General features: G+C 36.4%; 1 long non-coding RNA gene across 1 annotated transcript in view; it reads right to left on the reverse strand.

The window, feature by feature from the left end:
• The window catches only part of LOC107986048 (uncharacterized), a 32,992-nt gene extending 23,691 nt beyond the window's left edge, over positions 1 to 9,301 (reverse strand). The window contains exon 1 of the long non-coding RNA XR_001740570.2: positions 9,185 to 9,301. This is a non-coding gene — a long non-coding RNA (uncharacterized LOC107986048). The remainder of the gene's footprint in view (positions 1 to 9,184) is intronic.
• Positions 9,302 to 17,529: the final 8,228 nt, after the last annotated feature.

The raw sequence follows: 17,529 nt of genomic DNA on the forward strand, positions 1-17,529 counted from the left end.
TTGTAAATTGCCCAGTCTCAGGTATGTCTTTATCAGCAGCATACACTAAGTACACTAAGTACTTACTAATACACCAAGTTTGCGCATGTTCATATGTGGCAATAGATAACTAATAAGCTTCCCTTAAAAATATCTTATTTGATGGTTACAATGGTGGTAGAGGTAAGCTGAGTGTACATGTCATTTAAACAAAGTCAGCATTTGTGCAGATGATCAGAGTACAAGAATAAGGAGTACAACAAGGAGCAGCAAAGGATGGCTGAAATAAAAACAAAATCGGAAAAAAATTCAAAATGATACTGAGCATGGTAATGTGGTTTGGTATGAGGTAACTGTTGGAAAAACATGAGAATATTTTGAGTTCAACACCTATAAAACCAAAATGGTCATAACTGAAACGTGTTAGCATTTGATTAAGTTATAGGCAGCAATTTCAGAAAGTCAAATTATTTAATTAACCAGGGATGAATCTAGTCTTTTTCCCCCTTTTGTGAGATTTTATCAGAATATTGTAATGCTTAAAATTATATTTCTATGAATATATAATTTGGATGTAATAGGAATAAATACGTTATTATTATTTTTCCTTTTGATAGGTTGTTGGTAACACCTGTTCTCTGAGTTGTTCAAGCTAAATCTTTATAAAGCAAGTGCTGAAATTTGGGATCTTCCATCATATTATTTCATTTCCAAATTAATAGACTTTATTTATATAGAGTCATCTATCAATTTCTGTTTTTGAGAAAATCCAAATCATTTTCTGAGGAAATTTTTGCTCGCCCATAGAACCTCTTTTTCTCAGGTTCCTATTTTGATTAGATATTTATTTATATTAAAAATAAAAGAGGACAGCTTTGTTCCTTTTCATTGATTTTATTATTAGTCAAACAAATGTAAGTTCTTTAGATTTTTACTAGAAATTATAACTTTACACTTTCTGCAGCTAAAACTTATCCAAAATTGTGTATGATAACTACATGAAAGCTTTTCTTTCTTTTTTTTATTATTATACTTTAACTTTTAGGGTACATGTGCAGGTTAGATACATATGTATACATGTGCCATGTTAATGTGCTTTTTTTATTATTATATTTTAACTTTTAGGGTACATGTGCAGGTTAGTTACATATGTATACATGTGCCATGTTGGTGTGCTGCACCCATTAACTCGTCATTTAACATTAGGTATATCTCCTAATGCTATCCCTCCCCACTATCCCCACCCAACAACAGGCCCCAGTGTGTGATGTTCCCCTTCCTGTGTCCATGTGTTCTCATTGTTCAACTCTTTCCTATGAGTAAGAACATGCGGTGTTTGGTTTTTTGTCCTTGCGACAGTTTGCTGAGAATGATGGTTTCCAGCTTCATCCATGTCCCTAGAAAGGGCATGAACTCATCCTTTTTTATGGCTGCATAGTATTCCATGGTGTATATGTGCCACATTTTCTTAATCCAGTCTATCACTGTTGGACATTTGTCTTGGTTCCAAGTCTTTGCTATTGTGAATAGTGCCACAATAAACATATGTGTGCATGTGTCTTTATAGCAGCATGATTTATAATCCTTTCGGTATATACCCAGTAATGGGATGGCTGGGTCAAATGGTATTTCTAGTTCTAGATTCCTGAGGAATTGCCACACTGACTTCCACAATGGTTGAACTAGTTTACAGTCCCACCAACACTGCAAAAGTGTTCCTATTTCTCCACATCCTCTCCAGCACCTGTTGTTTCCTGACTTTTTAATGACGGCCATTCTAACTGGTGTGAGACAGTATCTCACTGTGGTTTTGATTTGCATTTCTCTGATGGCCAGTGATGATGAGCATTTTTTCATGTGTTTTTTGGCTGCATAAATGTCTACTTTTGAGAAATGTCTGTTCATATCCTTTGCCCACTTTTTCATGGGGTTGTTTGTTTGTTTGTTTGTTTTTGTAAATTTGTTTGAGTTCATTGTAGATTCTGGATAGTAGCCCTTTGTCAGATGAGTAGATTGCAAAAATTTTCTCCCACTCTGTAGGTTGCCTGTTCACTCTGATGGTAGTTTCTTTTGCTGTGCAGAAGCTCTTTAGTTTAATTAGATCCCATTTGTCAATTTTGGCTTTTGTTGCCATTGGTTTTGGTGTTTTAGACATGAAGTCCTTGCCCATGCCTATGTCCTGAATGGTATTGCCTAGGTTTTCCTCTAGGGTTTTTATGGTTTTAGGTCTAACATGTAAGTCTTTAATCCATCTTGAATTAATTTTTGATTAAGGTGTAAGGAAGGGATCCAGTTTCAGCTTTCTACGTATGGCTAGCCAGTTTTCCCAGCACCATTTATTAAATAGGGAATCCTTTCCCCATTGCTTGTTTTTGTCAGGTTGGTCAAAGATCAAATAGTTGTAGATATGTGGCATTATTTCTGAGGGCTCTGTTCTGTTCCATTGATCTATATGTCTGTTTTGGTACCAGTACCATGCTGTTTTGGTTACTGTAGCCTTGTAGTATAGTTTGAAGTCAGGTACCGTGATGCCTCCAGCTTTGGTCTTTTGGTTTAGGATTGACTTGGTGATGCAGGCTCTTTTTTGGTTCCATATGAACTTTAAAGTAGTTTGTTCCAATTCTGTGAAGAAAGTCATTGGTAGCTTGATGGGGATGGCATTGAATCTATAAATTACCTTGGGCAGTATGGCCATTTTCATGATATTGATTCTTCTTACCCATGAGCATGGAATGTTCTTCCATTTGTTTGTATCCTCTTTTATTTCATTGAGCAGTGGTTTGTAGTTCTCCTTGAAGAGGTCCTTCACGTCCCTTGCAAGTTGGATTCCTAGGTATTTTTATTCTCTTTGATGCAATTGTGAATGGGAGTTCACTCATGATTTGGCTCTCTGTTTGTCTGTTATTGGTGTATAAGAATGCTTGTGATTTTTGCTCATTGATTTTGTATCCTGAGACTTTGCTGAAGTTGCCTATCAGCTTAAGGAGATTTTGGGCTGAGACGATGGGGTTTTCTAGATATACAATCATGTCATCTGCAAACAGGGACAATTTGACTTCCTCTTTTCCTAATTCAATGCCCTTGATTTCCTTATCCTGCCTGATTGCCCTGGCCAGAACTTCCAACACTATGTTGAATAGGAGTGGTGAGAGAGGGCATCCCTGTCTTGTGCCAGTTTTCAAAGAGAATGCTTCCAGTTTTTGTCCACTCAGTATGATATTGGCTGTGGCTTTGTCTTAGATAGCTCTTATTATTTTGAGATACGTCCTATCAATACCTAATTTATTGAGAGTTTTTAGCATGAAGGGCTGTGGAATTTTATCAAAGGCCTTTTCTGCATCTATTGAGATAATCATGTGGTTTTTGTCTTTGGTTCTGTTTATATGCTGGATTACGTTTATTGATTTTCGCACACTGAACCAACCTTGCATCCCAGGGATGAAGCCCACTTGATCATGGTGGATACGCTTTTTGATGTGCTGCTGGATTCAGTTTGCCAGTATTTTATTGAGGATTTTTGCATCAATGTTCATCAAGGATATTGGTATAAACTTCTCTTTTTTGGTTGTGCCTCTGCCAGGCTTTGGTATCAGGATGATGCTGGCCTCATAAAATGAGTTAGGGAGGATTCCCTCTTTTTCTATTGGTTGGAGTAGTTTCAGAAGGAATGGTACCAGCTCCTCCTTGTACCTCTGGTAGAATTCACCTGGTCCTGTGAATCCATCTGGTCCTGAACTTTTTTTGGTTGGTAAGCTATTAATTATTGCCTCAATTTCAGAGCCTGTTATTGGTCTATTCAGAGATTCAACTTCTTCCTGGTTTAGTCTTGGGAGGGTGTATGTGTCGAGGAATTTATCCATTTCTTCTAGATTTTCTAGGTTATTTGTGTAGAGGTGTTTATAGTATTCTCTGATGGTAGTGTGTATTTCTGTGGGATCGATGGTGATATCCCCTTTATCATTTTTATTGTGTACATTTGATTCTTCTCTCTTTTCTTCTTTATTAGTCTTGCTAATGGTCTATCAATTTTGTTGATCTTTTCCAAAAAACCAGCTCCTGGATTCATTGATTTTTTGAAGGGTTTTTTGTGTCTCTATTTCCTTCAGTTCTGCTGTGATCTTAGTTATTTCTTGCCTTCTGCTAGCTTTTGAATGTGTTTGCTCTTGCTTCTCTAGATCTCTTAATTGTGATGTTAGGGTGTCAATTTTAGATCTTTCCTGCTTTCTCTTGTGGGCACTTAGTGCTATAAATTTCCCTCTACACACTGCTTTGAATGTGTCCCAGAGATTCTGGTATGTTGTGTCTTTGTTCTCGTTGGTTTCAAAGAACATCTTTTATAAATGGGAGTTTTATAAAGGCGAGATGTGATAGTTTTATAAATGGGAGTTCCCCTGCCTTACAAGCTGCCTTTCCTGCCACCATGTAAGACATGCCTTTGCTTCTTTTTTGCCTTTCATCATGATTTTGAGGCCTCCCAGCCATGTAGAACTGAGTCCATTAAACCTCTTTCCTTTATAAATTACCCAGTCTCAGGTGTGTTTTTAGTAGCAGCATGAGAACAAATTAATACAGTAAATTGGTGCCAGCAGAGAGTAGGGTACTGCTGTAAAGATACCCAAAAGTTGTGGAAGTGATTTTGGAACTGGGTAACAGGCAGAAGTCGGAACAGTTTGCGGGGATCAGAAGAAGACAGGAAGATGTGGGAAAGTTTGGAACTTCCTAGAGACTTGTCAAATAGCTTTGACCAAATGCTGCTCATCTCAGATGGAGATGAAGAACTTGTTGGATACTGGAATAAAGGTGACTCTTGCTATGTTTTAGCAAAGAGACTGGAAGCATTTTGCCCCTGCCCTAGAGATTTGTGGAACTTTGAACTTGAGAGAGATGATTTAGGGTATCTGGTGGAAGAAATTTCTAAGCAGCAAAGCATTCAAGATATGACTTGGGTGCTGTTAAAGGCATTCAGTTTTATAAGGAAGCAGAGCATAAATGTTCAGTTAAGTTGCAGCCTGATAATGTGATAGAAAAGAAAATCCCATTTTCCAAGGAGAAATCCAAGCCAGCTGCACATATTTGCATAAGTGATGAGGAACCAAATGCTAATCCCCAACACAATAGGGAAAATGTCTCCAGGGAATGCCAGAGGTCTTCATGTCAGCCCCTCCCATCACGGGCCCAGAGGCCTAGGAGGAAAAAGTGGTTTCCTGAGCTGGCCCAGGGTCCCCGTTCAGTGTGCAGCCTAGGGACTTGGTGCCCTGCATCCCAGCCACTCCAACTGCAGATAAAAGGGCCAACATAGAGTTCTGGCTATGGCAGAAGGTGCAAGCCACAAGCCTTGGCAGCTTCCACATGTTGTTGAGCCTGCCAGTGTACAGAAGTCAAGAATTGGGGTTTAGGAACCTCCACCTAGATTTCAAAGGATGTATGGAAATGCTTGGATGTTCAGGCAGAAGTTAGCTGCAGGGGCAGGGCTCTCATGGAAAACCTATGCTAGGGCAGTATGGAAGGGAAATGTGGGGTCAGAGCCCTCATTAAGTCCCTACTGGGGCACCACCTAGTGGAGCTTTGAGAAGTGGACCACTGTCCTCCAGACCCCAGAATGGTAGATCCACTGATGGCTTGCACGGTGCACCTGAAAAAGCCAGCCACTCAATGCCAGCCCATGAAAGCAGCCAGGAAGGAAGCTGTACTCTGAAAAGCCACAGGGGTGGAGCTGCCTAAGACCCTGGGAACCCACTCTTGCATCAGTGTGACCTGGATGTAAGACATGGAGTCAAAGGAGATCATTTTGCAGCTTTAAGATTTGACTGCCCCACTGGATTTTGCACTTGAATGGGTCTTGTAGCCCCTTTGTTTTGGTCAATTTCTCCCATTTGGAATGGCTGTATTTACCCAATGCCTGTAACCCCATTGTATCTATGAAGTAACTAACTTGCTTTTGATTTTACATATGAAAGTCCATATGTGGAATGGACTTTCCTTGTCTCGGATGAAACTTTGGGCTGTGGACTTTTGAATTAATGCTGAAATGAGTTAAGACTTTGTGGGACTATTAGGAAGGCATGATTGGTTTTGAAATGTGAAGACATGAGATTTTGGAGGGGCTGAGGTGGAATGACATGGTTTGGCTGTGTCCCCACCAAAATCTCATCTTGAACTCCCACGTGTTGTAGGAGGGACCTGGTGGGAGATAATTTAATTTGAGAGCAGATTTCTCCCCTCCTGTTTCTGTGATGGTGAGTCACAAGATCTGATAGTTCTATAAAGAGCAGTTCCCCTGCATGAGCTCTCTCTCCCTTTGCCTGCTGCCATCCATGTAAGACATGACTTACTCCTCTTTGCCTTCCACTATGATTGTGAGGCTTCCCCAGCAACATAAAAACATAAGTCCAATTAAACCTCTTTCTTTTGTAAATTGTCCAGTTTCAGATATGTCTTTATGAGCAGTGTGAAAATGGAGTAATACATGCTTATTATACAAAAATAGGTTGGGATCTAAGATTAATATCTAAGTTGACATTTTAAAAGAATTGTTAAGAATCCAAAGGTTAGAAGTGGTTAAAAGTAAGAGTCAATAAGAACTAAAAGAACGTCATAGAGACCTTCATAAAGGTAATAAATTGACTACATCTATTTTTGAGAAGGCTATCATAGTGACTCTACATATTTTTATTTATTCCTTGACTTTTGATTAAGTGTTCATTTTCAGTGCTAAAATTTTGAACTCCAGATAACTGAGCTTCACTGTAATATAATTTTTGTCAAATCCTTTGTATTTATTAGAAATAATACATGATACATTACATTGTGTATTATATGTGTATACTTATTTTTATAATAAAATAACAAAATATTTAAAATGAGAATAATACAATATAAATAAACTAATACAATAATATAATTAAATATTACATGCATACTTATATAAACTTAGAGGATATCTCCATGTAGAAATGTTCAACACCAAAATAGAGATATGCTTAGAATATTTGTCATGTGGCATATTGGTGAGTGTGGCTAGGATGAAATGTAATCAGCTAATAAAAAACACAAAGGCTAAGTGTTTGAAGGCACAAGAACCAGAGTGATGGAGAGAGGGATGCATAGAAAAGCATCCCCCCCAACAACACAGACAAACATCTACATCAATATGTCACCCTTTCCTTTTCCTTGCTAACTTTGCAAAAACTTGGACACCAGAATACTGGCAACTGTAGAAGAGCATATCAAAAAATAGAATTTAAAGTGTTATCTAACTCTAAGCACATCTGTTCTCTAAATCAGCTTCTCAAAGATACATTTCATTAAAATCAATCTTGCCAACCCTTGTCACTTAGTCATTGACTCTCTGTTACTCTTTTACTGTCACCTTTCTTGACAGGATTTTGACAAGATCCAGAAGGTCAGTTAAGTTCTTTGCTGCTCTTTTCCATTAATGGTTTATTAACTAGGCAAGGCTAAATATATTCTTTTCTATTATGTATCTCTAGCCAAAAACCGGCTCTGCAGAACAGTAGATTTCTTCCCAAATACCATGGAAGTATCATCTCCCTCAGTCTTAGAAAGAGCATGCATGCAGATGTTTTCAGTTACACTTAGACATAGTTTTTGTTTTATTAACTACAGTGGGCTTGAGACGTTTTTCTCTTTCTGATAAAATCAGCATTTTTTTCAGAGTTCATTTAAATTAATTTGAAAATATCATCTTTTTCATTTTTCCTTCCAGGTTGCTTTTTTCCTTTCTCTCAGACCTGGATTTAGAATATTTCTCTTATTGTTAATTATATTCCATAGAAGTCACTAAAATATCTCTCTCAGTTAACACCCAATTAACTGAAGGACTTTAGAAGTAACCTTCCTCTGAAGCATACTCTGCATATTCACGGCTCCCTTTCTACAGTTTGCATTGCTATAGTGTTTCTCTCACTGCAGAGCTAACAGAAAGTAATTCCCTGAGGTCTAGTTCTAGGAGGATCTACTATTATTGCCTCCGTCAGGGGCCTTACCTCTTATCAAAAGGAGGGCCATTGCCATCAAAATATTTTTTAGAAAAAGAGATTTTTAAAATATAGGATTCTTGAAATGCAGGGGTCTTTAAAACAGCCTGCAGAGTAACTATGAATCCTTAGATAGCATATGCTAAAGCGTGTCTTAAATGTAAATTTCTAGGAAGATTAGTCATGGCTTTTTATCAAATTCTAGATGAATCTACAGCATTACCAAAATTAAATACTCTAAAATGATGCACAAATCTTGTATTTACATATATAAGAGATGGCATATGGTAACATGTATAAGTACAAACTTTTTAGCAAAATAAAAATCCATGGAATTTACAGTGAATTTAGAATTTGGGTATCACCACTATGCTTTCATTCCTTAATTTAGTCAAAAATGGCAAACAACTTCCAGCCTTTATCTGCCCTTCAGCACATTGTTTGGGAGCTCACATAAATATTCACATGCTGCTACATTCACATACACATATATCACATGAAGATTTGGCCTGACGTTACTGAAAACTTGCCATCTACATACTCTGTTCATTCTTCTACATCTACCATTTTTTTATAATCTAAAAAAACTTCTATAGTAAAAAGTTATCTTATTCATGGTAACATGTTTTGTTTTTTAATTTCCTATGTACACATTCTTTGTTCTAAGATAAACTTTTGCTTTTTTTGTTTTTCTTTGTATTGATTTCATCTCAAAAGATCTAATTTTATTCCATATATCTATACAAGAAACAAGCAGTATCCAGTCAATTTTAATACTAAACGACTTAACGCTGGAGAAAAATCAAATAAATGCAAAAATATCAAAAGGCAAATTAAAAGATAAATTAATACGGAGTGTTTGATAATATTTAATTTGTGGACACATTTCATTGAAAAAGCAGCTTCAGTTTATTTTGAGGAAGTCACAGATCTACAAGTGTGACAAATGGTGTCCACATGAGAACAAAGCATTCTGCCAGACTGAAAAGTAGAATACTCTCTGTTTGGTAACAGTAGCCGATTGGTTACTGGTTGAAATTGTTTCTAAATGTTCTTTCTCAATTATCTATAAAACCTACTACTTAATTTGCTACTGTGTTTGTATTAAATTTCAATGTAACTAACATTTTGAAATTCAAGTGTCTTTCTTCTCTGTTTAATAAGTGAGGCCCCTCCAAAAACAAACATCAAGGAGAATTCGCCTTTACCTTTGTAGTCCAGTGGCTGGAGAGAGTCAGTGGAGAATTACTCTGATGGTTGATTAAGCACATGTCAAAAACAACAGAAACAGGCACAACATGGTGCACACAAGAGAAAGAGGGAGACTGAAAGAAAGGAAAAAAGAAAAGTCAGCCTCGATGAAATTATTTCAGAATATGTAGATGTTTGCTTCATTTCAAAATAAAAACTTTATTTTCTATCACATATGGTAGCATGTTAGTATGTGGTGGGGTGTGGGGAGGGGGTGCCATAATACATTGAGTGCTTGGGCCTCCAAGGCTCTTCCTTTACCCAAGATAGACAGAGTGCATCTAAATTCAGATATTATAATTTTTCTTAGAAGGCAACTAATTCACTTTATTTAGCCAGATGTTTTTCCTTTTGAAGTTATTTGAGATTATTCATATTAGAGGGAAATGATGAAATGAATTTATTCAGCAATTAAGTATTAAGTTAGATATAAAGGAGTGTTTACATAAAACTACACTTTCTGAGTTTAATTTTCATCACAAATCCATTTTTACTGATATCCTAGCTTTGGGTCTTTCTTCATTTGGGGTCTCATTGTTTCTCATCTTTATCTATTGGCATCACCTCTCTGGGTTGCCAATGTTCTTGCAACGGACTGTCACACTTTGTACTGTGCCACAAATCACTGCTTGGGAATTGGCCAGAATCTGGGATGGGAGTGAAACAGCAGGGTAAAAATATCCCAGTTGATCATGTGCCTTCTTAGCCCACAAATCTTGGTTGGTAAACCATTGCAACTCATTCGTCGTCCAATTTCCTAGGACATACTTAGTATGTAGGCTTTATTGTCACTGTTGAAAATCCATGAACTCAGACATCCTTTCTCTCCTCTGGGGACTTGCTGTCTTGCATCTTTTCTGTCTCACAACCTAGAGCGAGTACACTCTCTTTTAGCATAAGCTGTGCTACCTCATCCTGATTCCTCTGCTGCTACAGCCACTCTCTGGCTTTCGTGCTCTAAGTCAGCAAATAGCTCTATTTTATGCTGCTCATCTGTTAAAGAGCTCTTTCCACAACTTGACTTTGATTTTGTTGACCTCTGTTAGGGAGCACATTCTATGCCCCATTGCTGTGTATTCCTGCCTCTGGAATAATTCCTAATTCCTTAATCAATGTATCCAATCAACATTAATTACTAAGGACCTTTTATATGCCAAGAGGTGTGATGATGAGTGCTAAGAATAAAATAATACATATGATAGATACACACCCTGCCCTTGTGAAGTCTTCTGTCTGGCAGAACTACTAGTGATTCTGAGGATATCTTTATTTTCATCAGGAGATACCTTTGTTTATTTAGGACAGAATTAAATTCTTCCTGGGAAACTGTCAAATATTGGTCTCTCTCCCAGCAAGCAAATCAAACATACATTTTTTGGTGGTTTTTTTTTGTGACACTTGCTGTAAGCAAATATTGTACATTCTTAGAATTTCAAATGTTTCTTATCGAAGTAGAGCCCTGGTACTGTATTACTATAGCAGAATTTTGAATGTAGAAACAGCATTCTGCTTCTTTATTTTCATCCACATTATTAATTCTGAATGCCTTATCCATTCTGTTCTCATATTCCCGTTTCCATACAGATCAGCAATGCATGCACCCCTGGGAGGGGTAATCAATTATGAGATAACAAGGTTAACCAGTTATCAATATCCTTGATTGATTGTTTATTCTCACTTTTATTTTCATTGCCAACTACTACAGACTGCAGGTTTTTAGCCTAATAAACATCTCTCAAATCCATAACTTTCCTCTTCATTCTTACCTTGTCCTCAAGTTCAGGACTTAGCTGGAAGTTGTCCCTAAACTACACTCTTTTATCCCTCACAAACATCAACCATATATTCACCAGGAAATATATGTTAAAGGAAATTCAAGCCATATTATTTCATGCATAAAATTTTTAAGTAGGTCTTATTGCTTACAGAATTAACTCCAATCTTAGTGGACTTAACATAGCTTGAGTTTCTGCCTTGTAGTCCTGACCCACTTTTCTCTCTTCTGGTTAAAGGCTGCTACCCAAAGACGTTGAAGAATATACCTGTAGTCAAACAAAGCTGTAGTCCTAGTACTATAGCAAAGCAAATGGTACCTCATAGAGAATAATAGGATATCTCAGTGAAAAAGTGTGAGAATAGGCTGGTTACAGCATTTGAGTTTGTGTGAGGTGAATGGGGGTGAGTTTAAGAAAGTGGGAAGTTTTCTCTGGTTTGAGTGTTGGCAGGAAGTAGGCTAAATATACAAATCGTTATCTTAATTCTCTTTCTCTTTTATTTTAAATCCGGGAGGCAGAAGCAGTGAATAGGAACTAAAACTGTAGTTAGTTAAGAACCAACAGTCATTTATGTCAGCCAGGTAAGAAAGATGTTCAGTTTTTTAATTGAAACACTGTCCTTGTTCTTCTCTTTTCAGACATAGATACAGTGTAGTTTTGGTTTTGTTTCACTCATTCATATTAGAGAGTACCTGTCTGATACTGTTGCTGTGGGAATCACTTTCGATTAAGTAGAAGACATCATGAACTACCTGTTGTTGCCAGGTCAGCCATCAGTTAACACTGGCTGAGGATGCTTTCTTTTTCTGCATAAATAATTTGGAACTATTATGCATGGGAATTTTTTCACTTCTCCTTTACTTATTTATTTATTCAACCATTTATGTCAGTATAGACTTATGATTATTTGTTTTGTAAGTTGGATTATAATACTATACTACTTTATTAATTCTATTTGTTTTGTTTTCCAAATTGTTTTCCAGCTTTGGCCATTGAGAGGTCTTTTCAATTGGCTCCTGTGCCCCTTTGACATTCCCCAAGGAGTGTTTTCATTTGTTTGTTTCATTACTGAGCATGTCCTCACTTTCTGGTGCCTCAGGATGCTCTATGTTCACCTTATATATTTTCTGCAACAGGAAAATATATTACTTAGAACCAGCTATTTATCCAAGAAGGCTAGTTTCTTTTCATTAGAGAATAATATTAGAAACCAATATCTGTGCTCTGTCCTACTGGGTAGCAGGTATTTTCAGTTGACAGAACAAGGAAACACATGTGCCTATAGACTATGTGTGTGTGTGTTTGTGTGTGTGTGTATAGGATGTAACTACACATATATATATATATATATATGATGTGACTACATGTGTATATATGTTACACTAAACATGAGTTTATGCTGATGTCTTAGATTCTAACCCATTACTACATCATTCATTCTAAATTCCTCCCTTCCTTATCTGTAAATTTGCACTCCAAGGGTAAGAAATCTAGCCGCCGTCATCTGCCATACGTTTCCTCAACTTTTCACTTCCAATGTAAATGAACAGCAGTATCAAAATTGTGAACCCACACGCTCACAGGAAACAACTTTAATTACAAGAATACAGCTTTATGTGCATTTTCTTTTACTATTGGTCCACTCATTTCCAGACTCCACATATTTCCGCAGTTACTTAGGTCAATACTTTTTTCTCCCACTCCTTTTACTGAGCTGGTTTCATATGTTTGTAATAAAGTTTCTTCTTTTGTCACAGTTTACATTCCTTCTTTGGTCTCCCACCTTTCTAAATGATTTCTTTTTTAGTTTGCGTATATTAAAGTCTACTCTGTGTTGTAACCATCTATGAAGTTTGACAAATCTATAATGTCTTGTATCCACCATTACAGTATCACATAGAATAGTTTCTCTGCCTTCAAAATCCCCTTTGTTTCATAAATTCAACCTTCATCTTTCCCTCAACACTCGGTAACCATGAATTTTTGAATTGTGTATATAGTTTTGCCTTTCCCAGAATGTTATATAATTGAAATCATACAGTATGTAACTTTTCACACTGGCTTAGTGCACTTAGCAATATTGACTTAAGGGTTCTCTGTCTTTTCATTGCTTTATAGCTCATTTATTTTTATTATAAATAACATTCCATTGTATAAATGAACCACAGTTCATTTTATCCATTCACCTTTTAGGACACTTTGGTTGTCAACAGTGTTTTGCAACTATGAATATAGCTGTTATCTTACTCTTTTTTAAAATGCACTTTAGGTGTACTCATTCCTTAGGTTGAGTACACCTAAAGTGCATTTTAGATATACTAATCATCTCTGTTTCTGTAATGTCATTATCATTAAAAACATCTCATTGTGTTATATTTATATGCTTATAATTCTTTTTTTCTTGCAGTCAACTGTAAATCTCTTAAGGACTTAGACCATGTCTAATACATCTGTGTATTCCTGGTTCCTAAACTGGATTTCAGAGATTATTTTTAGCTGAATGAATTTGCCAGGCAGTGTATGCAACAATTTATATTTCTTGTGCATCATATCATTTAACACCACACACACACACACACACACACACACATTCACAAGTAGGTTAAATGAATCACCCCAAATAAAGAACGTGAAATTCAAAATACTTTTCTTTAATGATTACCATATTCTGAGTTTTACCTATGAGGCTACTTTGGTAAACTTAGTCTAGTAGTTAAAAGAAAATTATATAAGTAAGGATTTAAAACTGTTGGAAAAAACTACTTTAGTCTCTATCTGTATTATTTGAAATAATATAAAACAAACTCATTAATATTAATGGAATCAGAAATTTTCTCTATTTAAAAAATAGTTATTCTTTTGCCTTATTTTTATCCTTAAAAATAATCTTTTTTGGCTGGGTGCGGTGGCTCATGCCTGTAATCCCAGCACTTTGGGAGGCCGAGGCAGGCAGATCAGGAGGTCAGGAGATGGAGACCATCCTGGCTAACATGGTGAAACCCCGTCTCTACTAAAAATACAAAAAAATTAGCCGGGCATGGTGGCGGGTGCCTGTAGTCCCAGCTACTCAAGAGGCTGAGGCAGAAGTATGGCATGAACCCGGGAAGCAGAGCTTTCAGTGGGCCAAGATCGCGCCACTGCAATCCAGCCTGGGTGACAGAGCGAGACTCTGTCTCAAAAAAAAAAAAAAAGTATATATATATACACACACACACACATACATACATATATATGTACACACATATATATACACATATGTATGTATATATATACACATATATGTGTATATACACACACATATATGTATACACATATATATGTGATATATATGTGTATATATCACATATATATGTGTGTATATACATATATATGTATATACACACATGTGTGTGTATATACACATATATATGTATATACACACATATGTGTGTGTATATATACACATATATATGTATATACACACATATGTGTGTGTGTATATATACATATATATGTATATACACATATATATGTGTGTGTGTATATATATATACACACACACATATATGTATAAATCTTTTTTGATTGGGTGTTTTGTGCCAAAGAATATTAATGCAGTAGACAGTTGTGAAATATTTTCAGAATAAACAAAAATGCAATTCTCTGCTTTTAGTTTAGTTCCGTTAAAATTACAACTCATCTGAAAGATGATAAACTATGTGCTACTTTTAAAGTCCCAAATATAAAGAGTCAAATCAATAATTCATTTCTCTATGAAAGAAGAGACATATTCAACATTTTAAAGAAATTTTCTAAATTACCAAGACACACTTAAAGTAGAGTGATTTATATAATTCTTTGTATATCAAGTTCTTGTGTTTTACTGAGAACATTTAAAATTAGTTTTATACATTTTATTAGCAATGGAAAGATACAACATTAGCTATAGCCAATTCTCATTATTTGTGGTAGTTATGTTCTATAAAGTAGCTATAAACACTGAATTAGGAAACATTGACCCTTTGCTCCTAGAAGAAATACAGGGTTAGGTTCCTGCAAACCTGTAGTCATATTTTCATCAACCAATCAACACATAACCTTTGTTATGTGTGTTTCTGCTTGATGTCTTATTTACTGTATATTGTTGATTCATTAACATTGGCTTAGAGTTAACAGCACTTAAATCATCCCTAAATGAAATCTATCTAATACATATATTTTGTCAATAGGGCACATTACAGCTTTCTTGTCCTTAGGAACTGTATTAGTCCGTTTCATGCTGCTGATAAAGACATACTAGAGGCTGAACAGTTTAAAAAAAAAAAAAGAGGTTTAATTGGAGTTACAATTCCATGTGGTTGGGAAAGCCTCACAATTATGGTGGAAGGCAAGGAGGAGCAAGTCACATGTTACGTGGATGACAGCAGGCAAAAAGAGAAAGAGAGCTTGTCCAGGGGAACTTCTCTATTTAAAACCATTAGATCTCACGAGACTTATTCATTATGATGAGAATAACACAGGAAAGACTTGACCCCGTGATTAAATTACGTCCCACTGGATTTCTCGCACAACACGTGGGAATTCAAGATAAGATATGGATAGGGACACAGCCAAACCATATCAGGAACACTAAACAATTCTTTAGCACTATGCTTGGGGGCCAGTTTATACAGCGAAATCAGCAACAGAAAGCATGCATACACACACAAACCAGAAAAAGTTTTAGCTGATGTGCTTGTTTATAACACATCAGCTGAAACAAGAAGGCAGAGCAGTTCCATTTTGGCCTCACTTTTTTCTTACAGCAACTCTGTGTGGTTGATTATTATTTTCCTAATTTTACAAATAAGGATGCTGAAGTTTCATGAGGAACAAGAAGGAAAGTTTCCAGGAAGAAGGTGAGGTTAATGTAAAATTTAGATTTAAATGCTGAATTAGAATGAAAAAGGGAAAGTGAACTTTTTAAAGCTGACTAATGGAAGGAAGGTTTGTTCAGAGCAGTACTTAGTCTACAGCTTATTATCTCTCAATATTGGGAAACTGCCTTCTGAGAACTCTACCAAATGACTGTCAAATTATGAAGTTTCCAGCATGGTTAACAGATACAAGCACTGTTTCCTTCTTGAGGGCAGAGAAATAACCATTTCAGGTAATTGGAGAGAACATTACTTGAAGAGCTGGGAATATTAAGCTTTAGACTAGGGACCATATGAAATCCACCTAACATATCACAAAAGCAAGACCTAAAAGGATCAAGGTGTGCTCCAAATAACTACATGCTAGAATAAATTTCAATAATATTTACAAGAATACAAAAATATCCAGCACTTCAAATATAAAACTCCCAATTGCTGGTATCAATCAAAGACTAACAGGTGTATTAGTCTGTTCTCACACTGCTATAAAGATACTACCCAAGACTGGATAATTTATAAACAAATGAGATTTAATTGATTCACAGTTCCACATGGCTGGGGAGGCATCAGGAAACTTACAATAATGGTGGAAGGGGAAGCAGGCAACTTCTTCACAGGGGGCAGGAGACAGTGTGTGTGAGAAGGAGCAAGTGCCACACTTTAAAAGCATCAGCTCTCATGAGAACTCCATCACTATCCTGAGAACAGCATGGGGGAAACTGCCTCCATGGTCCAATCACCTCCCACCTAATCCCTCCTCTGATATACGGGGATTACAATTTGAGATGAGATTTGTGTGGTGACATAGAGCCAAACCATATCACCAGGAACACAAAAAAGCAGGAAAATATAACTTATAGTGAGAAAAATAATGAATCACTTGACACCCACCCCAAACAAGTACAGATGTCAGAATTAGCAGACAATGACATTAAGACAATTTTTACTGCAGCTATATAAACTACAGAAGTAACGTGGGGTTAATTGACCTTAAAAGATGATTATTAAAGAAATAAGTAGGCCAGACATGGTGGCTCGTGTCTGTAATCCCAGCACTTTGGGAGGCCGAGGTGGATTGATCTCGACGTCAGGAGTTCGAGACCAGCCTAGCTAATATGGTAAAACCCCGTCTCTACTAAAAATACAAAAATTAGCTGGACATGGTGGTGCATGCCTCTAATCCCAGCTACTCAGGAGTCTGAGGCAGGAGAATCGCTTGAGCCACAAGGCAGAGGTTGTAGTGAGCCAAGATCATGCCACTGTACTCTAGCCTGGGCAACAGAGTGAGACTCCGTCTAAAAAATAATAAAATAAAAAATGAGTAATTAGTTCTTGGACCAGAACCCTCATATTAGAAAATAACATGATCAGATAGATTAAAAGAAGGGAAAATTAAAAGAAATTCTTACAGGATTGTGTTGAAAAGAGGAAATCATTATTGTAGAAATAGTGTCAGGTTTGTAGTCGCTCCAAATGAGTTTCAGTCTTTACTCTGCCATTTACTATTTATATGACTTTAGAAAAAATATCAATTACTGTGAGTGTCAGTTTTCTTATCTGTAACAAAGGAATAATAATAATAACTCACACTGGTATAAATATGTAGTAAAACCAATAATATACTTCATATAT

Source organism: Homo sapiens, chromosome 3 (assembly GCF_000001405.40).
Source record: "Homo sapiens chromosome 3, GRCh38.p14 Primary Assembly".
In the NCBI taxonomy this organism is placed as follows: Eukaryota; Metazoa; Chordata; class Mammalia; order Primates; family Hominidae; genus Homo; species Homo sapiens.